The sequence below is a fragment of the Homo sapiens genome, chromosome 1 (assembly GCF_000001405.40).
Source record: "Homo sapiens chromosome 1, GRCh38.p14 Primary Assembly".
NCBI classification, from domain to species: domain Eukaryota; kingdom Metazoa; phylum Chordata; class Mammalia; order Primates; family Hominidae; genus Homo; species Homo sapiens.
In genome coordinates, this window is record NC_000001.11 from 107,977,529 (window position 1) to 108,004,775 (window position 27,247).

General features: G+C 39.6%; 1 long non-coding RNA gene across 1 annotated transcript in view; it reads left to right on the top strand.

Annotated features, from left to right (window-relative positions):
• The window catches only part of VAV3-AS1 (VAV3 antisense RNA 1), a 30,165-nt gene extending 13,086 nt beyond the window's left edge, over positions 1 to 17,079 (top strand). The window contains exons 2-3 of the long non-coding RNA NR_046653.1: positions 15,977 to 16,107; positions 16,654 to 17,079. This is a non-coding gene — a long non-coding RNA (VAV3 antisense RNA 1). The remainder of the gene's footprint in view (positions 1 to 15,976; positions 16,108 to 16,653) is intronic.
• The last annotated feature ends 10,168 nt before the right edge of the window (positions 17,080 to 27,247 follow it).

The following is a 27,247-nucleotide window of genomic DNA, read 5'->3' on the forward strand; positions in this document are numbered from 1 at the left end:
CTGTGTGATTATTATTATCCTTTATTATTAAAATTTTCAAACTTATACAAAAGTAGATGGAATAGTTACTAAACCCCCATGTACCATCACCCAGTTTTAACAGTTATCAACCAAAGTTGCAGTATCTTTTTAATTGTTCAGACTTTGCCCTGTGATCCAGGTGATTCTTTAAAATAATAAAATTGAGAACCAGTGAGGAACAGTGACTTTCTCATTGTCATTTATCTGTGGAGCAGCAGAGCTGAGAACCAAATCTGAAATACGTAACTCCAAGTAGGGTTTGCTTTCCATTTAACCATAGTTGTATTCATTGCATTAACATATATTTATTGGGGTCCTTCGTATTCATATAGTATTATGCTGAGAACTAAAACAAGAAGATGAACCAGTTAAATCATATTTCAAAGTGGCCTGTGAGCAAGGACCAAAATGTTGACAGCAGGGCCAGGCACAGTAGCTGATGCCTGCAATCCCGCAGCACTTTGGGAGGCAAGGTGGAAGCATCGCTTGAGGCCAGGGGTTTGAGACTGCAGCAAGCTATAATTATGCCACGACTGCACTCCAGCCTGGGCAATGGAGCAAGACTCTGTCTCTAAAAAAAGGAAAAAAAAAGTAGATGATAAGTATAAAAAGTAGGAGATCAAAGAATGAAACAGTTTTAAAAATTTTCATGGGGGAGATACAACTTGACCTGGGCCTTCAGCAAGGAAGGACTTTCCAAGTGAAGAATAACATGAACAAAAACATAACATTCAGAATCAACAAATTATTTCTGGAGAACTCAGGAATAAAAAGCAGACTGGCTGGACAAGAGAGGCCCATATTGGATGGCTTGGGGGATCAGATCACTTAAATTCTCAAAGGCAAGATTGAATGGGGGTAACAGAAAGTCACCAGGAGTTTTTAAATAGGAGAGAAATATGGTCAAGGTGGTAATTTAGAAAGAAAATTCTGGGCTGGGCACGGTGGCTCACGCCTGTAATCGCAGCACTTTGGGAGGCCGAGGCAGGCAGATCACAAAGTCAGGAGTTCGAGACCATCCTGGCTAACACGGTGAAACCCCATCTCTACTAAAAATACAAAAAATTAGCCAGGCATGGTGGCACGCACCTGTAGTCCCAGCTACTTGCGAGGCTGAGGCAGGAGAATCACTTGAACCCATGAGACGGAGGTTGCAGTCAGCTGAGATGGTGCCACTGCACTCCAGCCTGGGTGACAGGGCAAGACTCCATCTCAGGAAAAAAAAAGAAGAAGAAGAAGAAGAAGAAAATTCTGGCCACAGCATATCTGGAAAAGAGATTCAAGAGGCAGGGTGATATGTTAATAAATGACTACACCAAATCAGCCATAAGATGAAAAGGATCAAGATTTGAGAGACGTAGGATCAACTGGACTTGGTGGGGAAAAGAGGGAGGAATGAATTAAAAATGACTGTGGTTTTGTAACTGGGTAGCTAGAAGAATTCAGCAATACTGAGTTTTACTGAAAATAGTGGAAGATACGAGATCAGTGCTTGGGGGAGAGTTAGTGTGGGGATGCTACGTTCAGAGGCGTCAGCATAGGAAATCATTGAAACAGTGATAGCCACGTGATCAAAGGTAAGACTCACTGGAAAATAATAACTGAGATTCCGAGGACTGCTCACAGTGAACGGGTGAGAGGAGAAGAGGAGGCAGAGGAGTTATGAAAACCCTAGAGGGATTGTCACTGGGGATCACCCTAATTCAGATCACTGCCCACCAGAGGATCATTTAGTGTCAGTCCCTGTGAGGATGCCCTTTATACAATTGCCTTTGACTGATGCTAAATGGGTAGAAACCACTGCCATGTCATTTCTGTAGCAATTTCTGGATAATCACTTGGGGCCAACCCTGATTCAATATCTGACTTATAGAGCCCAAAAATGTTCTTTAAATTTGATCTTTAATGGAAAAAAGAAATAAGTGAAAAATATTTGGGGCACCTTAGTGGCAAACCATACCTGCTTCATGAAATATTAGTTTAGGCCTATTACATAGGTTTCATACAGTTGTGGTCTTGTTGAAGTATAATTCCTCCTCCCCAGAGATTAGGAGAGCTCTGATAGCAACAGCTATAAACAGGTCTTGATTCTGCTTTAAGGGTTGATTTTCCTTGTCCGAATTCATTCGTTCCCCTTCTAGGATTCCAATTCGTCTGTGACAATTACTTCATTTATGGGTCAATATTTATAGACAACCCTTTTTTTCTATTGCTAGAGAGTTAGGGGTAAATAAGACAGACAAAAATCTTATTCTTCACAGAGTTTGCAATTTCCTTCTGACTTTGTTCACTATCTAATGCTTTCTGAAAGTACACATCCAAAATAAAGCATGCTATTATTCCTAGCTGTAGAGAATGTATTTGTTATCCTTGTGATTGCCTTTTGGCCATGTGCACATTGGAACTTTGTGTCCAAAGCTGCACTTTCTCCCCTACCTGGTAAGAACAGCACCTACATTTATGTAAATGGCCACAGGGTCAGTGGCATTACAAGCCACATTTCCAGTTCCCTGAGCAGCCTCTCTTCCTGTTAAGACTGATGACACGAACCCCCTCATTGCTATTATACCTCAGTGCTCTCTCCTCCCTCCCAAGGTCCCTGACCCTTGTAGTTGCTCTCATGCTATTCCCTGCTGGAACAATTCCTCTTATTCTCTGAGTGCCACTAGGAAGAATGACACCTACCTCCAAGAAACTCTCACCCATCTCTGTACGCATTTGCACTTCTCTCTAAACCCATCTCAAAATCTGAGCCCAGAGAGGAGAATTTAAAATCAAAATTATGACTAAAGCAGCACAGAAAATACTTCTTTCTTTCCTCTAGTACACAGGTTACACTGTAGCTCAGAAATCAAGATAGGAGAGAATTTCAAGAAAGATAGGGTGATGGACTCAGAGAACTCGCTTCCATTTTGGCAGGTCCTCCGGTCCTCACACTGTCCCCACCCATGTATGAAAATCTAGAGCAAATCATTCTATACCTTCCTTTTTAAAAACCAAAGAAATATTCCCACTTGTATTCAATTGGATTCTGTTTATCTAAGACAATTTTTTTTTAAGAAAAGTATAGTGCTTAAAAGGATACCTACCTAGCCCTGCTGATACATTTTTGGTAGGGATACTTTTTTGAGTCATATACTTTTAGGCATAAACATTTCTATTATTTTCCTAATAATGTTTGAGCTAATAATTTCAGCCTCATTTAGGGAAGACTCCCTGTTTAACCTATCTAGACATCTTCTTTTCTTTTTTAACCAACATTAATTATAAAATTATAAGGAATCTTTCCAATTAAGAAAATGATGAATCAAATCAAACCTAAAAAATATTTCTTTAAAAATATTATTTTATGCTACAAAAATAACAGGGCTAAAGTCCAAGTCAAATAATTTTAAAATGAATGATTTCAAATGAAATAATATTTCCTTTCCAGAAGCACCGATGAAAAGTAAATGGTTTACTTCACTGAGGCTCCCAGGGGAAAAATAGTTACCCACAGTCATTATGTTTAATATTAGAAATAAATGCTGCTCTCAGTTTGAAGCTTGGTTCTTTTTCTAATTTTTAGGGAGTCAGAAGTTTAAATCTTTTATTAAAAATTTATATGGCAATTGCTACTCTCTTATTTTCTTTTTTCTCTTCCCCTTATCTTTCATACATTTTGTATAATAAGGAAGCAATTCCTCTGCTATTAAAAACTGCTTTTAACAAGAGACAGAGATGTTTTCAACTGCAAGAAGAAGTGACCGAATAATATATTTCATTTCAATGTAGAACAGAGAGATTTTGCTCAATGGTCAAGAAAAGTAAAATCCATTTCACTGAAACATAAAAATCGATTTTGTAGCTCTCGTGGCTCTACAGCAGTTAGGCTCTCATCAAGAACATGGTTTCACATTACAATTTATAAAGTTCACGGAGTGAGATCAAAAGGGTTTTTTCCCATAAAGTAAAACCGGTGCCCCCAAATTCCCACCAACACATGTTTAAAGAAAACTTTCATGTCAACATGGATTACCTTATCTTGATTTATTTTAGATGCGGAATTTGTAACTTCAATTAAATAAGGAATAAATATTCAATTATGAAGTTTTTTAAACCCTGAGGCTTCGATGTAGAAGGAAAGTAATAAATTAATCCAATAGAACAAAGATTACACATTGCTATCTTCTGACTCTACCTAATTATCTCAGAATATAAAGTGCATCAGAAATTCAACAGAGAGTTAGGAAGAATTATCAGGATATACAGTGATTAGTAATTAATATACTCCCTAAATGAAAGTGAGTTTTGCACAGTTTCTATGTGAATAGTTATCATTTCGATTCTTAGTGAAATTTCATGCATAATATCTAAAGTTCTGAATCTCTGGAAGTGAAAAGAAAAAATGCTCTCCCTTAAAAATAAACTGGTTTTGGCTGAGTGCAGCGGCTCACACTTCTAATCCTAGCATTTCGGGAGGCTGAGGCGGGTGGATCATTTGAGCCCAGGAGTTCAAGACCAGCCTGGGCAACATGGCAAAACCCCGACTCTACTAAAAATACAAAAATTACCCAGGCGTGGTGGTGCACACCTGTAGTCCCAGCTCCTCAAGGGGCTGAGGCCAGAGGATCACTTGAACCCATTAGGTCGAGGCTGCAGCAAGCTCCAATCTTGCCACTGCACTCCAGCCCGGGTGACAGAGTGAGACCCTGTCTCAAAAAAAAAAAAAATTAAATAAACAAAAATAAAAAATAAACTCGTTTTAATCAGTATTCATCCAAATCTGCAAATTCCAAGAATGAACTTTAACAGCACTCCAGCCTGGGTGACAGAGTGAGACCCTGTCTCAAATAAATAAATAAATAAAAATTAAAAATAAACTGGTTTTCATCAGTATTCATCCAAATCTGCTAAATTCTGAGAAAGAACTTTAACAGCAGAGTTGACATTCCCTTTCTATATTCAGAGAAATTGTAAGTACAAAATAATTGTGTGCAGCCCAGTTCTACCCTTTCCATCCAAAAATGACCCAGGAAATTTCCCACGGAATGGCTCCTCTTCTCAATTTCCTTCCCATTTTAGCCAAATAGCTGGTCATAATGATGTTTGCTTGCTGAAGCAATGTCGTAAGTTCCAGCAAGAGTCCACCAGCTCAATATAACGGTAAACACAGGAGACTGAGAGCAGAAAACCAGGGTTCTAGTTCAGCCTCCCTTACATCTGGCTGTATGACATGGGATAATCTCTTGGATCTTGGTGGGTTTTTGTTTGCTTGTTTGTTTTGTTGTGTTTTGTTGTTTTCCTACTAAGTAAATTGGGCTAGATTATTTGTAAAGTTTGTCCCAATGCAAAATTCTGGTTCTATAGGCACTCCCACTCTCTCTCAGTCCATTAGACTCAAAATTATGGAAAATTTGACTACATTGTTTTCCTCCAAATTATCACCAAGCATTGTCTGTTTGTTTTCATCTTTGCCTTATCCTCTTAGGCATGGTCTGTAACTTTGTTAAATTCATTCTTCCCACGCTGTCTACTTCTCATCAGATTTCCTAGCTCTGAATCTTCAGTGGTTCCTCGTAGCCTACCCTATTGTAGACTCTTCATAAAAGATGATAATATAATACACTGTGTGAAATAACTTGGCTCCAATTCATCAATCCGACCTTATTTTCCACTTCTCCAATACAGCAGAGACCATTGGCTCTTTTCTACTCCAACCTTCTATTTGCCGTTGTCCTTCATCTTAAAACTACTCATTCTCACTCCCATTCTTAGCCTGTCAAATAAACTTCTACACGTTTTTCAAACTCTTTATTCAAGTACTCAAGACTTCCTGCCTTCAACTAGTATGATGTAGCATAGCATAGTGGTTACAGATGCCTTTACTGAAGCCAGATTGCCTAGGTTCTGGCTAGGTTCAACTCCTGGTTCTGTCACTTGCTAGTTCTGGAAATTTGGATGTGTTATCTCATCTTCCTGTGCTTTGGTCTACAGAGTGGGGATAAAGTAGACCCCTATTGAAACCTATTGGATTGAGTTGCTATGAGGTTAATAAGTTAATATGTGTAAAGTACTTGGAACAGTGCCCAGCACACAGTAGGCACGCTGAAAGCGTTTGCATTCATCAATACACCAGCTCCCTGTGGCATGCTTTGTCGGTAGCATATATTAAGGCACATGTATTTTTTTTTTTTTTTCTGACAGAGTCTCACTGTTGCCCAGGCTGGAGTGCAGTGGGACAATCTCATGGCAACCTCCGCCTCCTGGGTTCAAGCGATTCTCCTGCCTCAGCCTCCCGAGTAGCTGGGATTACAGGCATGTGCCACCACACCCGGCTAATTTTGTATTTTTTTTAGTAGAGACGGGGTTTCTCCATGTTGGTCAGGCTGGTCTCAAACTCCTGATCTCAGGTGATCCGCCCGCCTCGGCCTCCCAAAGTGCTGGGATTACAGGCGTGAGCCACTGCGCCCAGCCAAGACACATGTATTTACTTGTCTCTACCACTCGCTTCTATCTCTCTTAAATAGTTAGAAAGTAAAGGGGAAAACAAGTATGATGCCACTGTTATTCCCACCCTCTCCATGGGCACAGAGTACTGTTCAAACTCTTGGGGTTTACAACCAGAGAGAGAAATATGAAACTGTGGAGAGAAGCCATAATGATAATTAAAGGTTTGGAAAGTGATGATTAGGAGGAAAGACTAAAGAACAAGGACTAATAACCCCAGAAAAGAAAAGATGACAGTTACTTGCATAAAGGTCTTTAAAATACAAAAGGCCCTTGAAAACTCCCTGGTAATTGTTTGCTGTTCACATTTGACTATTAACTGCCTTAGGTTTTAACCATAGCCTTTCTTCTTCCTTTCCCTCTCCATAGCTGCTTTTATGTCATTCTCATTCTGGTCCCACTGCCTGGCTTACCTTAACCATATGCCAGGCAGTCATATGTATTATTCAGATTCCTCACTACAATTCTGGAAGGCGGATTTTATTAAGCTTTTTTAATTAAAGCTGATGACGATTAGTTAAATTGGCCACAGTCATGAACCCAAGCCAGTAAGTAGCAGTACAGGCATTCAAACCCAGGTCTATCTGATGCCAGAATCTAAGATCAACTGATGACACACACGTGATTTCTCCTTATGATTGACTCTTGTTGCTTTGTACTCACCACACCTACCAAGAGCTCCAACCGGGCCCAGTATAGGAACATTAGATATTCACAAAGAGCTGGTTGCTTAAAAAGAAAGTACTGACAATTTTAAATATTGCAATGATTCAAGGGGAAGTTGGGAAATGGTGTTTTTTTTTTTGAATGATCAACATTAATAAACTAAATAACTAATTAATTTATTGGCTCTCCCTTGTGTCAGCCAGTTTAGGTGTCTCTAACAGGAGAGCCAGTGTAAGGGTCTATCAGGAAAGCTTGAGAACTTTTCAGGTTTTTTTTGTTTTTTTTTTTAAGAACAAAAGCTTTTACGTTCATAGACAATCCAATTTATAAAAAATTATTTAGCCAATAAATGCAATGACTGAAGATGTCACTAATTTATAAAGCTGCATGAACTCTGTTAGGGGCTGATAGAGATGACTAGTCAAAAAATTTAAATCTAAGTATTTTAATACCCTTAATAAGAACAATGGAAAACTGATGAATAATCTGTTTATAACCACTCATGAAAATGCTAGTGGGTCTGTGAACTACAGAACTCAATAAATAACATCTTTATAACCTTTGCCCAAATTTCAGAAAAATCTGTGAAACAGTTACAGAAAATATGCCCATCTAAAAATGTTTCACCATTTTGTTTAATGACCACAAAATTAATAAAATATGGTGGAAATCTTGATATTCTTTATGCTATGTGAAATTCGACCTGAGTCCACTAACTTCCTTACAAAAAGCAAGCAAACATCCCAATATAGGAGGTCCAGATAAAATGAAAAGCTCTCTTTATTCCATCATATTTGTGTTGACTTAATCCTTTGACCTTCCTTACAATTAAAATTAAATTAAACATACACTGTAAAAGCTCAGCAGAAACCTCCCAGGATCCCACAGATCTGACTCTATAAAAATATTTTCTTTGTGTGGAACATAGCACAAAATATAACCATTTTATAATCATATAATTAAGATTGAAAAGAAATCCAATGCCTCTTACCACTCTAGCAATCAAATATTTTCCTCCTGTATAATTATTTAAATTTCATTTGTACAAAAGTAACATACACTCAATGCAGAAAGATATATAATTATATTTACGTTTTATATTTTATCTATCTATAACCAGGAATTCCATCTTTGTAATATAACCACCTTTTACATTTTAGTGTGTACTCTTTCCATTTGTTCTTGTGATATATACTGTTAAAAATAAAAATGGCATTTTACTATACACCCTATTTTATAACTTAGTTTTTCATTTAGCATTCATTATAGTTTTCTCCGATTTTTATAATCTTTACTATTCATTTTATAAACCTACTTGACTCATTTAATGTGATATAGACCAATCGTTGTATTTTGTATTTTTAATGTATCTTATATGTAAAGGTCTCAATAGTCATTGTTTAAAAACAATTAGTTTAGCAGCATCCAGATACTCTGGTTATTTATAAACCTCCACTTTGCTCTTAAATCCTGGGATGTCCTGCTTTAAGTAAACTCACATGTCAGGAGACGGAAAAATTGTTATAGTCTGAACAACTAGAAGGAAAATATTTTTAGGTAGAGCAGACTTGCCTGGTATACTTTTGGGGCCTGAGCAAGAGTACAAATGGAAGCCACACATCAGATGTTTTAATACTCAAAAGTTATAATTCAAACTAACAAATTGTTGAATCTCCCAGTTTGAGGAGGAAATCTACATTTGAATTAAAAAAGTATAAATGCATTTTTAGTTTGCATAACATTTTTTAAATGGTATAGTTTAGTGTTTTCAAAGTGGTTACATTTTAAAATGAGGACAACAAAATATTTTCCAAAGGTCATATTTAGAAATGTTAGAATCAGAGATTAACAACAACAAAACAGGACTCTGAATTCCCTTTTGCTGTAGTAAATCCCTAAACTAGCTCTCTCTCCTTCCTTTTTGAGGATACTGAAATTTTCCATCTAAAGCTAAGGTTTCCTGACAAATTTCAAGAAGCAGTTTTCAAAATTTAACTCAGAGGCTCTCTGCAGTTTCATGCTTTGAGATGTCTCTGTCTAACAAGTTTTTAGGGGCTCTCTTTCCTTTCATAGAGCACAGTAGTAAACCACAAAGTGATGGGTTAGCTCCAACAGCAAAGTGAGAAGTACAATCACAATATGTTGTTCACTTTCTTTAATAGTACACTGTGATTTTAGCATAATCATTATGACCTTTATGGTACCAACAGCTAGAACTTGTTTCCATTAGTTTCTTGGCCTCCAAGCACAGATCAGACAAGAGACTCATTTAATATGGTATAAACCAACAGAGCTCTTAATAAATGCTACTTATTACCAGAAAAAAAAAAATTAACACGGGAAACGCCAAGCCCTTCATAATCAAGGCATCTTATTTCAAAGCACTGTTGTCAATAGTTTTAGGTTCTGATAATTGACTTGGATCCTTCAGAACCTCTAGGAATTTATGCTGATGATATTTTCCCTAAACAACTTCTCATTATGGGCACTGAAATTTACTGACCACGTGCTATGTGCCAAGGCTCATTAGTAGGGAAGACAGCCCAAAAGCATGATTATAAGCAAAGGAGTGGCAGGGTAGAGGTGGACTCAGATTGCTACACAGGCACAGAGGGAGGGAAGGACCTGCTGCCTGGGATGGAGAGAAGGAGTGTATTAGTCAGGGTTCTCTAGAGGGACAGAATTAATAGGATATATGTACATATGAAAGGGAGTTTATTAAAGAAAAGTAACTCACACAATCACAAAGTAAACCTCAGGACAGGCCATCCGCAAGTTGAGGAGCAAGGAAGCCAGTGGTGGATCAGCCTGAGTCTCAAAACCTCAAAAGTAGGGAAGCCAACAGTGCGGTCTTTAATCTATAGCTGAAGACCTGGGAGCACCTGGCAAACCACTGGTTTAAATCCAAAAGTCCAAAAGCTGAAGAACTTGGAGTCTGATGTTTGAGGTCAGGAAGCATCCAGCAAGGGAGAAAGATGAAGGCAGGAAGATTCAGCAAGTCTGTTCTTCCATCTTCTTCTGCCTGCTTTATTCTAGCTACACTGATGGCTGATTACATGGTGTCCACCCAGATTGAGGGTGGGTCGGCCTCTCCCAGTCCACTGACTCAAATGTTAATCTCTTTTGGCAACACCCTCACAGACACACCCAGGAACAATACTTTGCATGTTTCAATCCAATCAAGTTGACCCTCAATATTAACCATTACAAGGAGGGAGAAAGCAGGGGGTGCAAGAAGGTATTCACCTGCAGGGGAGAGTAGGTAGATTGGTATTATTAGAACAGCACACACAAAAAGTCAGAAGGTCAAGGACACACACACAGTCAGAGATCAGTCAGGTTTGTGGAGGGGCCAAAATTTTGATGTACGAAGTGAAGAGAGAGACTTATGTGAAACTAACAGTTGAAAATGGCCAGAAAGATAGAGAGGGATGGACTGTAAAAGGTCCATGAAAGAACCTAGAGCCTCCCAAGGAGGCTGCCCTAAAGCTCATGCCTGTTAGGTGAAACCACCCTACAATGAGGTGTAGGGTGACATCTCACTAATGAGGACCCTTAGTAGAATTTAAAATTTATGCTCAATTCCACTTTCTTTTTCTTTTTGTTTTTGAGACAGGGTCTCACTCTGTCACCTGGGCTGGAGTGCAGTGGTGCAATCATGGCTTACTGTAGCCTCTAACTCCTGGGCTCAAGTGATCTTCCCACTGCAGCCTCCCAAGTAGCTGGGATACCGGCACATACCACCAGTCCCAGCTAATTTTTTGTGTTTTATATAGAGATGGGGTTCTGCCATGTTGCCCAGGCTGGTCTTGAACTCCTGGACTCAAGCACTCCACCTGCCTTGGCCTCTCAAAGTGGTGGGATTACAGGTGTGAGCCACGTATAATAACACCCGGCCTAAATTTCACTTTCTAATGAAATGTGTTAGAACAAGATTCCATAGCTACCTCAGAGGAGACAACACATACAGCACATAAGACCTTGCTGTACTTGCCTTCTCAGATGAAGAAAGCTGGAAAAAAAAGCTGTTAAAGAGACCTTTTTATAATTAGCTTGGGAAAACAGGGGCCTTCATAAAAACAGAGATGGAGAGACCCATAGCCAAGATCCTTGGAGACTTCAGGAAGGGCAGTTGTCTAATAGTTTCTTAGCACAAGGCCATACCTGCCCCCACGCAAAAGTACTAATGCAAATGAATGTGCATGGACACTTAAGAGAGGTATAGAGGCTCAGCCTTAAGTATGTCAGTCTAAACGTTTTAATACTATCTAAACTAACAGGATATACAAAAATCCTCTGCATGTGGCCCTGAAGTGCACAGATTCTTAAAAGTCCTTCTTCTTCTAGACTCTTCACAGAACACAGATGCCACCGTACAGTTCCACAACTCCATTAAAAAGTGGGCAAAGGACATGAACAGACACCTTTCAAAAGAAGACATACATGCGATCAATAAACATATGAAAAAAGCTCAACATCACCAATCATTAAAAAATGCAGATCAAAACTACAATGAGATACTATCTCACACTAGTCAGAATGGCTACTGTTAAAAAATCAAACAATATCATGTGCTGGTGAGGTTGTGGAATAAAAGAAACGCTTATACACTGTTGGTGGAAGTGTAAATTAGTCCAACCATTGTGGAAAACAGTGTGGGAATTCCTCAAAGAGCTAAAAACAGAAATGCCATTCAACCCAGCAATCTCATTACTGGGTATAAACCCAAAGGAATACAAATTGTTCTATCATAAAGACACATGCACATGTATGTTCACTGCAGCACTATTCACAATAGCAAAGATATGGAATAAACTTAAATGCCCATCGATGATACACTGGATAAAAAAACATGGTACATATACACCATGGAGTACTATGCAGCCGTAAAAAAAAACGAGATCATGTCCATCGCAGGAACATGGATGAAGCTGGAGGCCATTATCGTTAGTAAACTAACACAGAAACAGGAAACGAAATACCACATGTTCTCACTTATAAATGGGAGCCAAATGATGAGAACACATGAAAACGTACAGGGGAAAAACAGACACTGGGGCCTATCAAAGGGTAGACAGTGGGAGAAGGGAGAGGATCAGGAAAAATAACTAATGGGTACTAGGCTTGGAACCTGGATAATGAAATATAATCCATACAGCAAACCCCCGTGACATGAGTTTACCTATATAACAAACCTGCACATGTAAACCTGAACTTAAAATAAAAGTTAAAAATAAAAATAAATAAATACATAAAAACAAATGTCTGGCCTCATTAAAATTTGAGTTAAAACTATGATTCATGAGAAACTTTTGTTGTTAGAGAAAATTATTTTCATGACCCAAGCTGAACTCTAGGCTATGAAGAAACTAAATCTAAGAGAAGGCTTCACGGTGACGTCTAGAGAGGCTTTAGGAGGTCCTCAAGGAACCTCCGCTTTCCTTTGGTGGGTGTTTGTTGTTCCCTGTGTAGCACTCACTTTCCCTTCTTCTAATGGCTCCTTTAGGCCATGTCCTATCCCCGTGGCATGCAGTCTTGGTGGGATAGTCAGCAAAAGTTTCCTATCAAGGACACACGGTTCAAGCTAGACCTATCTGTTTCCTAAAAATTAAATATTGGGTAGAATGACAGAAGAATAGGAAATTGTTGGGGTTGATTCTGTTTCTCACTCTTTCTCTCTCTTCCTCCCTCCTTCCCTCCATCTGTCTCCTTTTCATTGTGTTAAGTTAGCCAGGAATAGTTTCCACTGATTGCAACAAAAAAATCCCAAATGATATATTGCAGTTCATGCATCTCAATATCTTGTGAATCTAGTTTAACCGTCAGGAGGGCAGCCACAAGGGTAAGACAGATGAGGGGAACCTGGACAGAGATACCGAGTTTATAGCTTTCTAGAAAGCTCACTAGAATTTCCAAGTTGCTTCAAAATGGCATATGAGGAAGAGGAAAGGGACAGTGGAAGACTGTATAGAATGGAAAATCCTGCAAACATGTGCCAATGGAGGCTCTCTTGGGCACTAATTCAGGTTATGAGAGGCATTATGAGCAAGGCACAGCAGTCAGAGGGCAGTACCATGGGCCAGCTGAGTCACCGCCATGACTCAGGTACCGGCAGAACAATAAGATGGAGTCCATACACTAAGGTGCCATTCAAGAAATATTTAGGGCAATATCAGATGGATGAGGCAGAGCACCCTGGAGCAACCGGCCGCAGCCACAAGGAAAGACATGGAAGTATTGGCCGCAGCAAGTGCCAGAATTGAAGGCTACTTGCTCAGCCATTGCAGGAGGCTGTCATTTCTGACCTGGTGTCCTCACTGGCTGTTTCCCCAGAGAGAATGGGAGAGTTCTAAGGGAAATCCGGGTGTCTCAGAGGCTCCTCTGTATCACTGCTGTTGCCCTCTGTCAACCTAAATAACCAACAGAGAAAGCCTCTCTAAAAGAAAGTGGTGCTTATTCAGGAAAAGGGCATTGCAGTATGGGAGCCACAGTAAACAATGTGTGTATTCAGGGAGATAAGAGGTACTTAAAGAAAAATGAAGATGATTACTTTGACAACTTTCACACTTCCAATAGCTGGGAAGAGACCCTAATCTCAGGACTCTTCAGGGTCTTCTACAACCTCCATATTCAGACCTACAAACAGCAGGATCTTCCAGGACCTCCCATTCTGGAGTAATTGTTTATAAAGGGAAAGTCATACAGCACAGTGGACCTGGAGTTTGAATTCCTTTCCCCTTTGCCACAGCTGCGAAGCCCAGAGATGCCCAGTAGCCATTTCACAGGGTTGCTGTGAGGATAAATGAGATGTTGCACATAACGCATTTAGCACAGAGTCCCACGCACATGAAGTGCTCAACAAAGTTAGAGAGAGTGCCAGCAAAGATGCTCACTGACGCAACCAGGGACTGCTCCAATTCCTTCATTGTCACTATGAAACTCCTGTACACATTCTGTGGAAGAAAAAAGCCTGCTGCTATGCTTGCACCCCATGACCATTAAGTGGCCCTAGAAGACTTCTACTGCATGTGGAGGGGTCAGAAGGGCGGTGGCTGTTGCTTCAAGAAGGGGGAACGGGAGCATCTGGCAGTGACGTCCCTTAAAGCCAAGTGGCAGCTGATTCACACAAATGGTATTTGGATAGAGGTGGAAGGAGTAAGAGAGAAGCCTGCCCCTGCCTCCCAGAAGCTGGCTCCTCTCTCATCATTACAGCTGCCATCTTTCATCATCCAGGCCTCCCCCAGATGTGGCAGACAACTCACCCATAGAATCTCCTCCCACACCAGGAACATGTTGAGACTTTGTTGCCTGTTCCTGGCACTCTTAGGATCTGTGCTCTGGTCCCTTGCGTAAGTGGCAGAGAACAGCACCAGAAGAAAAGGGGTATGGGGAGATTGAAAATTGTTTTTGATGCAGCTGGAGAAAAAAATACATTCGACATTTAGGTAGATATAGTATTATGGCAAAATAAAATACTCATGTTTAGAGGAGATCCATGTTCACAGAGAAAAAAATCACAAGTTGCAACAGTTAGCAACACAAGGCTCAATCCCTCCACTTGTACAGCTGCTTCCAGCGAGTCATGGCATTGTTGGCTCCAGCATCAGGGGTACAATGATGGACACAATGAAAATTAACTCATTTCATTTAAAGTCAGAATATAACTTCAGCAAAAAAATTAAACTTCCTTTGGGTATTTGCACTACATTTTTAAAATATAGAAATTTCCAAATATTTTTTTCTATGTTCACGTCCAATTGCTTTTTCAACATCAACAAAATTCCACTTGGAAATTGTTCTGCTGTCACACTGCCCCTTCAGAAATGGTCCACAGGTTAGTGGTGCTGAATTCTCAGCTCACTCTTAAAAGTTCCCTGGAGGAACTCTAGCACTCATTTCCAGTGGCTTCATATATGAATCTAATAACAATATTTATATTTGGTATGTGGATAAGAAAATATTGTTTACCTCGAGTCCCAGACCTTGTGCTAAGCACTCTACAGGTGTCGTCTAATTTTGCAGGTAACAAACATGGGAGAAGTTCACATCAGAGAGCTGGTAAGTAGGGAAGCTGGGATTCAAACCTGACCCACTTCTTTGCAAATCTTAGGTGACCTTGATAGAGTTAGACGGGCATGTTTCCTCATCATGAAGACTCCAGTTTTTATAACTGTCTCTATGTCCACAGTGTCTGGCATATATTATTAGAAGCCCCCCCCAAAAGTTTATTCTTAGTCATTGGTTTTACTTCTTTAAGTGGGACACACCTGCATTTACCTCCTCCTACCGTATTCCAACTCCATAACCAAAGTAAAGCACTCCACATCTGTAGCTCTCTCTCTAGAATTCTGGGAGTAAGGTTGAAATCTAAAATAGGAGTTCTACAAAAACAAAATGAACACTTTTTTTTTTTTTTTTTTTTTTTTTTTTTTTTTTTTTTGAGACGGAGTCTCGCTCTGTCACCCAGGCTGGAGTGCAGTGGCGGGATCTCGGCTCACTGCAAGCTCCGCCTCCCGGGTTCACGCCATTCTCCTGCCTCAGCCTCCCAAGTAGCTGGGACTACAGGCGCCCGCCACTACGCCCGGCTAATTTTTTGTATTTTTAGTAGAGACGGGGTTTCACCGTTTTAGCCGGGATGGTCTCGATCTCCTGACCTCGTGATCCGCCCGCCTCGGCCTCCCAAAGTGCTGGGATTACAGGCGTGAGCCACCGCGCCCGGCCAAAATGAACACTTTTTGTTGGTTACTGAGAGAACTAACAAAGCTTGTTTTGAATTGACATTGCTGTTTGATTGTCACAGGTTTCTTCACAGATTAGGATAAAGGATGAAGAGAAGTAAACTGAATTACTAAGGATGCAACATTAATGGAGAGAGCCAAGTGATGTAAATCGTGGCTGGCCATGAGTGGATCTTGAGTGCCAGTTATCTAGGTATCACTCCATCCAGTTTCCCCCTCTCATTCCGGTTGCCAACACAGGCATCAGAGACTTTTTCCAACTCATCCCTGCTCACACCTCATAGCAATCCCCTGAGAATACATATATTGCTATCCCCATTTTACTGATGAGATAACTGGCTTAGAGGAGCCAAGCAACTTGCCCAAGATCACAGAACCACAGAGTGGCAGAGCTGGATTACAACCAGCTCCCTCTAAGCCCTTAGACTGGTAACTAATATTCTGTTTTCTAATAAAACCCTAGCCTTTTGTAAAAGATGCACTTTAGGAACATTCCTAAGATAGGTAATGACCTGCAGAGATTGCATTTCTGATCCAAATCAAACCTAGGCTGAAGGAGACGAAGCAAGGGCCAAACACAATGATTCATTGCCTACCTTGTGAAAGACAACAGTAATTCTAGGTCAAAGTCTAATGAACGGATGTCCGCATAGCAATTAGCAGTGCCGGCATCCTGACTGGCAGTCTTGGCAGAGCAGCTGTGATCGTCATAGAAACTGTACTCCTCTCTCCCCCACAGAGAAATTCCACGTGGCTGTTCCAGGATGGATTAGGCACCAATGACTCTCTTTCACCCTCGAGCTGGAATCCTGCCCCTTTAACACCTTTCCAGAGAGAGGCAACCCATGGAGGGTCACAGCAAGATGGGATGGTTGTGCCTGGTAGTAAAAATATGTATCACTCTTCATTTCATCCAGCTTTGAAGCTTCTGCTAGCAGCTCACACATGACCCCAAGGGCAGCTCCTCAAGTCTGCTAAAGAAAAGTTAAGTAGAATTAATTTTGTTCAATATCTCCCATTTTGTTAGATTCATCATTTTCAGTCAAGAATGACAATATTAATGGAACCAAAAGAATATATACTATTAACATTTCGTCTTAATTCTACAAATGTCTAAAAGTCTCTGTAATTCCCTTAAAAATAAAAAAAATGCAATATTAATTTAGGGAGCACTCTAGTTGAGCAATCAGTTCTATAGAAAATCAACGTTATATTACTCCTATTATTTACAGTATATGGCATTACATCGTAAAACTACCTTATCTTTTACTTGGGAAGACAAGGGGTGGAGGATTTGAAGAACCAAAACTTACAGAATTCCTAGTATGAACTGAGCATATTACTTCCTCTGCATCTACAAGCTTCTTATAATTATCTCCATCTTGTATGAAAGAAAACAACCTTCAGAGAAATTAGATAACCAGTTCTCTGTCTCACAGACAGTGTGAAGCTGGTATTCAAAGCCCCGGCTGTCTGACTCCAAAATCTCTGTTCTTTCTACTCCAAATTTCACATGTATTTATTTTACTTCACATGGATCTGTATCTGGGATTACTCTGTAATACATAAATTATAGAAAAAAAATTTGGCTGGGCACAGTGGCACACGCCTGTAATCCTAGCACTTTGGGAGGCTGAGGTGTGTGGATTGCCTAAGCTCAGGTGTTCGAGACCAGCCGGGGCAACATGGTGAGACCCCATATCTACTAAAAATACAAAAAAAAAAAATTAGCTGGGTGTGGTAGTGCATGCCTGTAATCCCAACTAATTGGGAGGCTGACGCAGGAGAATCACTTGAACCCAGGAGACAAAGGTTACAGTGAGCTGAGATCGAGCCACTGTACTCCAGCCTGGGCAACAGAATGAGACTGGCTCCAAGCCACGCCCCCTGCCCCAGAGCACCAAATTTAAACTAGCTGGAACCCAACTAATTAAAATCTTGAATTAAATGATTCTTCCTCTACCATATCTCCATTCTCTGCCACCATCACATTCTCAGCCTGTAGGGATAACAAGTGGGGACAAAACAACTAGGACCTATGATTGTTTTTAATCTTTAAAATGTGCCATGAGGTAAAATAATTAGCCCAACTTCCTAAATCAATTCCATTACACTGTGGTAACAAGGATTTCTGATATAAACCCAAAGCATTGTGAGATTTTAAATTATTGAAGAAAGATTCAATTATGTTCAGGATATCCTACTTAGGCAGGGAAATGTACTCATTTCCCTAAGTTTTTAGGTAATAAACTGAAAAAAAGTTGATTTTTTTTTTGTGTGTGTGTGAGGGGAAGGGACTATCTAGAAAACTCCATCACATAGTTCCTTGACTGCGTAGGTTAGTCTATATAATTATTTAAAAAGAAAACTTCATTTCCTTCCCAACCCCAAAACTACCATGTAGATAAAAACAAGTGCCAAGGGCAATGAGGCAAAATGCTTGTATTTGAATCCCAGTTCCATCACTAGTCAGCCTTGGGACCAATGGCAAGACCTTACCTCTTTGGCATCAGATGCTGCAGCAATGAAATAATGAGTTAGAATAAGATAATCTCCCAGTCCTTGCCTGGGGTGTGCATTTATGAATTCATTCATTCAACAAATATAAATATTTTCATAGACACAATGTTTCAATGTTTTATGATACCATCTTGACATTCATCAGCATTACATATTTATTAGGCAGAGTGATTACAAAGAAAGACTCAGTCATTTCCAAGGAGCTCACAAGGGGAAATCTGACATTTACACAACAGTCAAAGGTAGCCAAAGGAAACAACAATGGTCAGTATGAGCAAGGCACTACAGGATTCCCCAAGAATCATTTAATTTTTTCATTATTTCAGTAGTTGTGCTAAGACAAAAGTGATGATCTATGGAACACTCCTTAGCCTCCACACTGGACATGAGATTGTATTTAGTATTTGCTCTGCAGTCCTCCCTTGTTGTGAAAAGCACATATATCCAGAATAGTGACTAAACATAACCATAGGCAAATGGCTACATGCACATAGAGAGTCTACACAGGAAATGTGAACATATATGTACTGAACATTCATACATCAATATCCATCATATTTGCCTTCAATTCAGTGCTATAGCAAATGTTTACTGTGTGTTTGGTGCTGAGTGGGCTATAGAGGTAGAAAAGAAAGGATCTTGCCCCTCTAGGAGCACACCACTTATTCCATTTACTAAGAAAGACGGAAATATAACCAATTCCAACAGGGGCAATGATAGTGGTTCTAACAGTAATACTTCCAGAGTGTAGGAAAGGAATACTTAATGTTGTCTAAAGAATCTGGGAATTCTCAGAAAAGATAGGACTTTATCTGAGCTCTAAAGAAAGAGTAGCTCTTTGATGGGGCAATGTGTGTGAAAATGTGTATAGAGAAGCAAGAAGGCCTAACCTTTTAAGTAGTAACAATATGTCCAGACCCAGTGATAGGATCCATGTGGGCCAGAATCAGTAAATCCATATGGGTGCAGCATTAGGTCTTTGAGGAATGTAGTGGAGATCAAGGTTAGAAAGAGACACCAAAGCCAAGCGCAGGGGCTCACGCCTGTAATCCCAGCACTTTGGGAGGCCGAGGCAGGCGGATCACCTGATGTCAGGAGTTTGAGATCAGCCTGACCAACATGGAGAAACCCCATCTCTACTAAAAATACAAAATTAGCCAGGCGTGGTGGCACATGCCTCTAATCCCAGATACTCAGGAGGCAGAGGCAGGAAGATCGCTTGAACCCGGGAGGTGGGGGTTGTGGTGAGGGTGAGCTGAGACTGCACCATTGCACTCCAGCCTGGGCAACAAGAGCGAAATTCCATCTCAAAAAAAAAAAAAAGAAAGAAAGAAAAGAAGGAGACACCAAAGCCACAGAACTTCACTCTGATATTGAGTAACAATTAAGAGCATGAAATCTGGAGCTAGACTTCCTGAGTGTGAATCCTGGCTCCATGTGAACTTAGGCAAGTTACTTAGCCTCTTCTGTTACATTAAAAAGAGTTGAAGTGTGGGAATGCTTTAAACAGTGCCTAGTATTTAATAAAGTCCATATATAAGTTCGGTATTCAATATACAATGGGGAAGCAATTAAGGTAATGGAATTAGCGTGTGACCTAACTGGTCTACTTATATAGTTTTCCTTACTGTGCTATATTAAGGAGGCTGTATTTAGGAGCTGAAAAAGGAGTTTGTGGTTGTCATTGTGTTGCAAAGTTAAGAGGAATATATATTTCATCTATGTAATTAGTAATGATAGGTTCTCAGTCTTGGGAGCTCTCAGGTTGTCCAGATCCCAAAGACAGACCATGGACGATGGTTCACATTCTCAGAAACTCCTGGGATTTGGAAGGCACATTTCCTTTCATTAAAATACTCATGGTAGGTACATGCTTTCATATGAAATGATCATTCCATTTCTTATTTACTCTTTCATGATTTTTATTAGATTTTCTTAGAAAATACTAGTGTATTAGAAAATAAAAATTAGGGCTCATAGGAAAGAACATTGGATGTCTAGCCAGATTGGAACACATAATTCTTTTAAGAGATGCCAGGGACATTTCCCTCTTAGGAGAACTGGGAGCAACAGGCTTAAAGGGATTCTACACACTGCATTAATTATTAGAACATGACTCTTTGTTCCTCTATTCTATTACTCACTGATTACAAACCTTAAGGAGAAAGGTCATTATTACAAACAGCAAGAAAACAGAGGTTTAAGTTAAAATTGTCTTGGAAGGCTGTAAAACGGTGATTTTCCTTCCTTTGAGGAATAGTAAATGCAAGTATTATAATTCATAAGGGCTACTCCTTTATACAATTCAAAATCAAAATCTCATTACTCTCATCATCGCATTTTCAATAAGAATTAATTTCTGAATTTTATTAATTTTAACTATGGACTCTGCTCAATATTCTCAGGTTTGGAGAAAAAGTAGGGCAGCATTTCTATTCCATGCACTGAAAAAGACCTGGAAACGAAGCGCAAAAGCCATCACACTCCAGGAAATGTAGCAAGGCAGTGTGACCTAGTTGTAGACCCAGACAACTGGTATTCTTTTCTAGTTTTCTGCTCTCTGGGCCACATCATAGTCCTAACTTCTCTGAGCTTGGTTTTCTCTCTCTGTTGAAGTGTACATTAATGCAGGGAATTTACTATTGTGGTAATATTCTTGTAGTCACCAATGGTAATTCTCTCTCTCTGTCTCTCTTCCTCGCTCTTTCTCTCTCTCTCCTTCTCTCTTTCTCTCTTATTTTGCTTTATAAAGACTCAAACTAGAGGGTGATAGCTACCCTAAAAGTCCAGAATTCACCACTACACAATATATTCATGTAATGGAATGGCACTTGTACCTCTTAAATTTATTTTTAAGGCTCAAACTAGGAAGAAATTAGATTTTATGTATACATTTATGAATATGTATGTATACTGTACATGATGAAATTATATAATATACAGTCATGTTGTAGATGTTTAAAAATCATGCTTCCAGCCAGGCACGGTGGCTCACGCCTGTAATCCCAGCACTTTGGGAGGCCGAGGCGGGTGGATCATGAGGTGAAGACATAGAGACCATCCTGGCCAACATGGTGAAATCCTGTCTCTACTAAAAATACAAAAATTAGCTGGGCATGGTGGTGGGCACCTGTAGTCCCAGGTACTCGGGAGGCTGAGGTAGGAGAATCGCTTGAACCCAGAAGGCAAAGGTTGCAGTGAGCCAAGATTACACCACTGCACTCCAGCCTGGCAACAGAGCAAGACTCCGTTTCAAGACTAAAAAAACAAAAAACAAACAAACAAAAAATCAATATATTATAATTCATCATTGTTATTATTTTAATGCTTAAATGTTTCCCAAATTTAACCCAAGGGAGCCCAAGACAGTTCCTTATCCATTGGTCATTGCTTCATGATTTTCTGAGCATGTCTTGCTTTCCAGCACAATAGTGTATTCCAGAAGCATATTTATATACTCCTCACCTGGAATTGACCACTTCCCCCAAGGAATTCTGACTCCCTTTAGTAGGCAATGGTCTTTAGAAATCAACACCTGAAAGTCACAACTGGAATTTGAACCCAGACTGTGAGACTGCAGAGCATGCTCTCAACATCGTACTATATGACTCTAATTAAGTATAATATCCTCTAATAAGTGAGGTACACCAAAGATGCTCTAGGAATACAGAGGAGGATGTGGGTGGAAAAGAAGGGAGGATTTCACTGGGAAGGCTTGCCTTGCAAATCTACCTTTACTGTTATTTCCATGCTGATACCAGAGTGATTTCATTTAACCACCTGGACACTATGGAAACAGTCTTTCCTACTTGGGACCAAATCTATCCCAAATTATGGTTTTCCCATATTTCACCCTAGTCACAAAAATGTCTGAAAAACTCCTCTTTCCTGGTATTCAAAAAGAGCTAAGAGAAGCCACTCCTCTCCTTCATTCTACTCCTTTGACTTCCTTTACACATTCACACATTCTGTTTCGGATTTCATTGTTTCCTCAAAGCATACAAAGTCTCTTTCAAAAGGAATTCTCTTTCTTCAGAGTCATGGTTTGGGAGCTTCTAACTCCTACCCTTCTCATAATAGACCTCTCCAGACCTCATTATCTTAGCATAAAAGTTAGTACAGAATGTCAGCATGTTTAAAACCCGACTTCTTTCCTTTCTGCAAATAAATAAATAAACAAACCCAAGTTTAGATTTCAACTATCTTGCCTCAGCCATGTGTGAGCACCTCTCAAATCCACATTTGTTTTAAGAAGGCAATTTTTTTTTACCCTAAGTTTAAATTTGCATTGTGAGGGAGTATAGGAGAAGATGGGCAGCTTGGAGTTAACACCAGGCCAGGTTTCCTTAAAGGGAGCAGCAAAAGCAAGCCAGCTGAGTGATCACCTGGGTTGCAGCGCCTGAAAATACAGAGCCTCGTGGTTTTGTGCAGTGCTAGATGGAGTCTCTTCCCTGGCATCCTTCACTTGTCACTACCGTGTGTTTTCTTTAATACTATTGCTACTGCAGTTGCCACTGCCGCTATCAGTAATGAAATTAATAATAATAATAACATCCTGACCTATTCTGCCATCGCAAATTTCAGTCCATTCTAGCCCGCAGAGGAGATGGCCAGCCTGTAACACTGCAGTTGAATATTAATTAAGTGATCTTTCAGTAGCACAAGGGAAGGAATCAAGGGCCTGTTTAAAACCATTCCCTTAGATCTATTGCAGATAGGAATCAATAAAGCATCCATGTTCAGGGTCACAAGTTGGCTTGGAAAACAAATCCACAACTGAGAACCCTATGGCCTCCCCTGGAGCACTCCAGGCCAGATCTCTCCCTGTCTGATGACAAACTCCAAGAGCCAGGGTAACCCATTACTCACTCCCAAGCTGTTGTGGGCTTTTTTTTTTTTTTTTTTTTTTTGCTGTTGCTTGACTATAAGCCAAACAAAATGAACGTTCATATGGTGAACTTGGCAGCTGTCCCACTCCAGACTGTGCTTTTCCACAAGCCAAAGGAGGCTTTGAAGCTGGCCTCCCCTCCACTTTGCCCCAAGCTGGGGAATTACCCTTGGAGGAGCAGAGATCAGCTGGCACTGAGCCATGCTGCCCTTTGGGTCAGGAGACATTCAAGAAAGGCCCGGCCTATGGGCCTCATAGCTGAGCAGAATGACTTGGCCTGTTCCCAGGGCTGCCAAAGGTGTCCTGTATCTTTTTGCTGAATTTCTAGGGATAAAAGCTTAGCATTTTATACTTACACCTTAACATAAGAATATCTGTCCTTTTGCCTGTATGTATTGAGATAGAAAGGTGTCCCACTGCAAGGCTTTAGAAATGTTTTGCAAACTCACACTCAGTTTGCCAATAATTCACAGTAAAATCTGAACTCACATAATCAAGATTGGATACAAAGAGCACTGGAATGAAGGGATGGATGAGTGAACAAATGAAATTAGACTATACCACGAAGGAATGGAGTACATGAATGAAGACCAGACATCAGGAATCTGGGTTTTGGTCCTGGCTCAGTCCCTTCCTGACTTCTCATTTAACCACTTGCAGGTCAACAGCCCCACCTAGAAAATAAAAGACTTGGAGAAATTATTTTATCTCTTCCAGATATAGATGATTTATTATATCACTTGTGTGCATATACAGATTAATAGTCAAGCATGAAAGCAGTCTATAATTTGTAGCCATCAGTAACAATCAAACAGCCTCCAAATAACCGGAAATCCAAAAGCAGCCAAAAATTGAATTATACCGCATGATTAACAAATTGTGAATATGAATTTTGACTCTGTCACAAGGTCAGGTTACTCAGCCTCTGTGGCATGGCTCACTGTAAATATTCTAGACACATGTGCTCTCAAACTAAAGTATTTTTAAAATATAACAAAATTTACCCTTAACAATTTAAATTGTTATATTTAAATTGTTGTTATTAAATTAAATTGTTGTATTAAATTAATTGTTATATATAAATTGTTATATTTAAAGTATAACAATTTACCCTATATATTAGGGTAAATATTATATTTACTCTTGGGATATTATACTAATGTCCCAAGATGGACACAGATAAGCTCTTCAAAATGGTTCCTATTTGAATACTCTAATTCTGGAGGAAACAAAGTGTTCGAATCATACCAAAGGTCTTCCAAGTAATGAACAAGTAAAGGAGCACTTCATAAAGTAAACTAGAATGCCACAATTAGTATGGATGCTTAAGATTACTCAAATGTGTGGTTTTTCTAACACTAATCTAATTTAGAAATGTATATTATAGTATTAGAAATGAATACTATAATTTAGAAATACTCACTACTTCTGACTATTCTTTTTCCTCTATTTTTATTTTGTAATTTTGAATTTTTTACTTTTCCTTTTAAGAGACAGGGTCTTGCTCTGTCACCCAAGCTGCTGTGCAGTGGCATGATTATAGCTCACTGTATCCTCAAACTCCTGGGCTCGAGCAATCCTCTTGCCTTGGTTCCCAAAATTCAGGGATTACAGATGTGAGCCACTGTGCTTGGCAATTTTAAAGTCTTAAAACAGTGTTATATTAATATAAATCATGGTAGGATTTGACATTTCAAAGAACTTGAGGATAAAAACATTTCTTAGGGGACCAAAAATGATCACTAATTTGTAAAATGGGCCTAGACTCACCCACATCTCCCAAGTGATGTTTCCTTCTTCAGAGCTGCTCTACATGTAATTAAGAGAACAGAAGGGCCGCCTGCATCAATCAAATGCACAACCTTCCCTAGCACACACAGTTCCAATGAAAATCCAAACAGCTATTGGGATGAACTGAGGAATGATGTTTATCAGGTCTTCAAGGTGAAAATACCACCAGCATTTATTACTGAGAGAAGAATCTTTTAGCAAACAATAGACCAATAAATTTTACCTCTCAAAAAAGTGTTTCACTTCATTCTTCCACTTTTGACTCCAAGTCATAAAAGACCCAGCGCAGAATAAAGTAGGTATGCTGAGAGGGTTTAGACATCCTCTCTCATGCCCAAGCAAGATCATATGCTTAAAAATGGTCCTTGGCAGAAGAATATATCTTTAATTTCTTTAACATATTAAAAATTAAGCCTGGGGCTGGGCGCTGGGGCTCGCACCTATAATCCCAGCACTTTCGGAGGACGAGGCGGGCAGATCACCCAAGGTCAGGAGATCAAGAACAGCCTGCCCAACATGGTGAAACCCCGTCTCCACTAAAAATATATAATTAGCTGGGCACGGTGGCATGAGCCTGTAATCCCAGCTACACGGGAGGCTGAGGCAGGAGAGTTGCCTGAACCCTGGAGGCGGAGGTTGCAGTGAGCCGAGATTGTGCCATTGCCCTCCAGCCTGGGCAAAAAGGGCAAAACTCCATCTCAAAACAAAAACAAACAAATGAAAAACCAAACCTGGAAGAATAAGATCATACAGTTTTCCCAGCTGTGTATGAGATTCTTCTCACCAAAACTTAGCCACAAAGCTGGAGTTAGAGCGAAAGAGGCCGTGAAGTAGATGAAAAAAAGAGAAGCCCTTCCTTTTTGGAGACTGGGCGATTGTGGTTTTAGAGAAAAATAATAAAACATATATTCTCTGATTCCATCTGTGTTAAAACTGCAAATCAGAGTTATATTTGAAAAAATGTAGGAGAGAAATCTCCTTTTGCTACATGCACTTTAAATTCTCAAGGAAGTATACTAGCTGTGTTCTCAGAAGAAAACAAATAGAATGCTAGATAATATTTACATCCCTTGCATACCAAACCAGAGGAAACAAACAGCCCTGTTCAGAAACTGGGCAGGTGAGGAAACAGTTTAAACCTGAAGGAACTCTATCACTGTGTTATGCTCCTGGAGAAGCAAGAGACCTCCTGAGATCATCAACTTTTAAAAGTAGTGTTTAATCTTCCAGGGATGAACCTTCTATTGCAACATACATAATAACAAAGTTTGTAAAACATATTGTGGCATTTAATCTATAGATGCTTATTATAGGAAATAGAAGTTATTCATTTAAACTGTAAATGTAAATACCAGCTTGTGTCAACTGACACACTACTATGTAAATTGTATAGATACTTCTGTAAGTCAGAGAGCTCCAGACTCCGTAGTCTGAACTTCCCTTTGCAGATTGAATAAGAAAAGCTAAGCAAGTGATGTTTACCACACAGTTTCATGTAGCCCAAATGATGAAGAGCCATTGTGAATATCACCTACTTTGACCCATAATGCTCCACTGTCCTAGAGATTATATTTTACCGTCTTGGTGACTCTATTGTTTTGCAGTTCGGGTTTGGATTTGATAAGTAAAATGGCAGCGTGAAAATGTTAGCCTCATGCTTAATAGGCTAGGCTATGAGGAAGAAAATGTTAAACAATAGCATTGGCATATTTTTTCCTATATATTTGAGAACCAAAAATTAAAATTAAGAAGGCAAAATAGGAATACATAGGTTTTAGAAATAATAGTGCATATATGCTCCAAAGTATACTATTTACCATTCAATTAAAAGAATCAAAAGAACTTTATTGATTGGCAAGAAAAATTAGAAAAACAAATATATATAAAACAAGAATTGCTCTCTCTAGCAATCTGTAACCCAGTTGGGTGATGGCCTCAATTAGACAGAAGCAGTATAATTGGGAATTTGATCTTTGCTCCTTTGTCGAGTTCCTAGAAAATTTCTTTAACTGTAGATGGAGAAATTATTCTAAATGATAGTCAGCAAAAAAGAGCATCTGAAATACATTTCTCACTCTCTGGAGAGTGAGAATGGCCCAGCACAGATTCCAGCATTATAAATAGGATCTTCGGC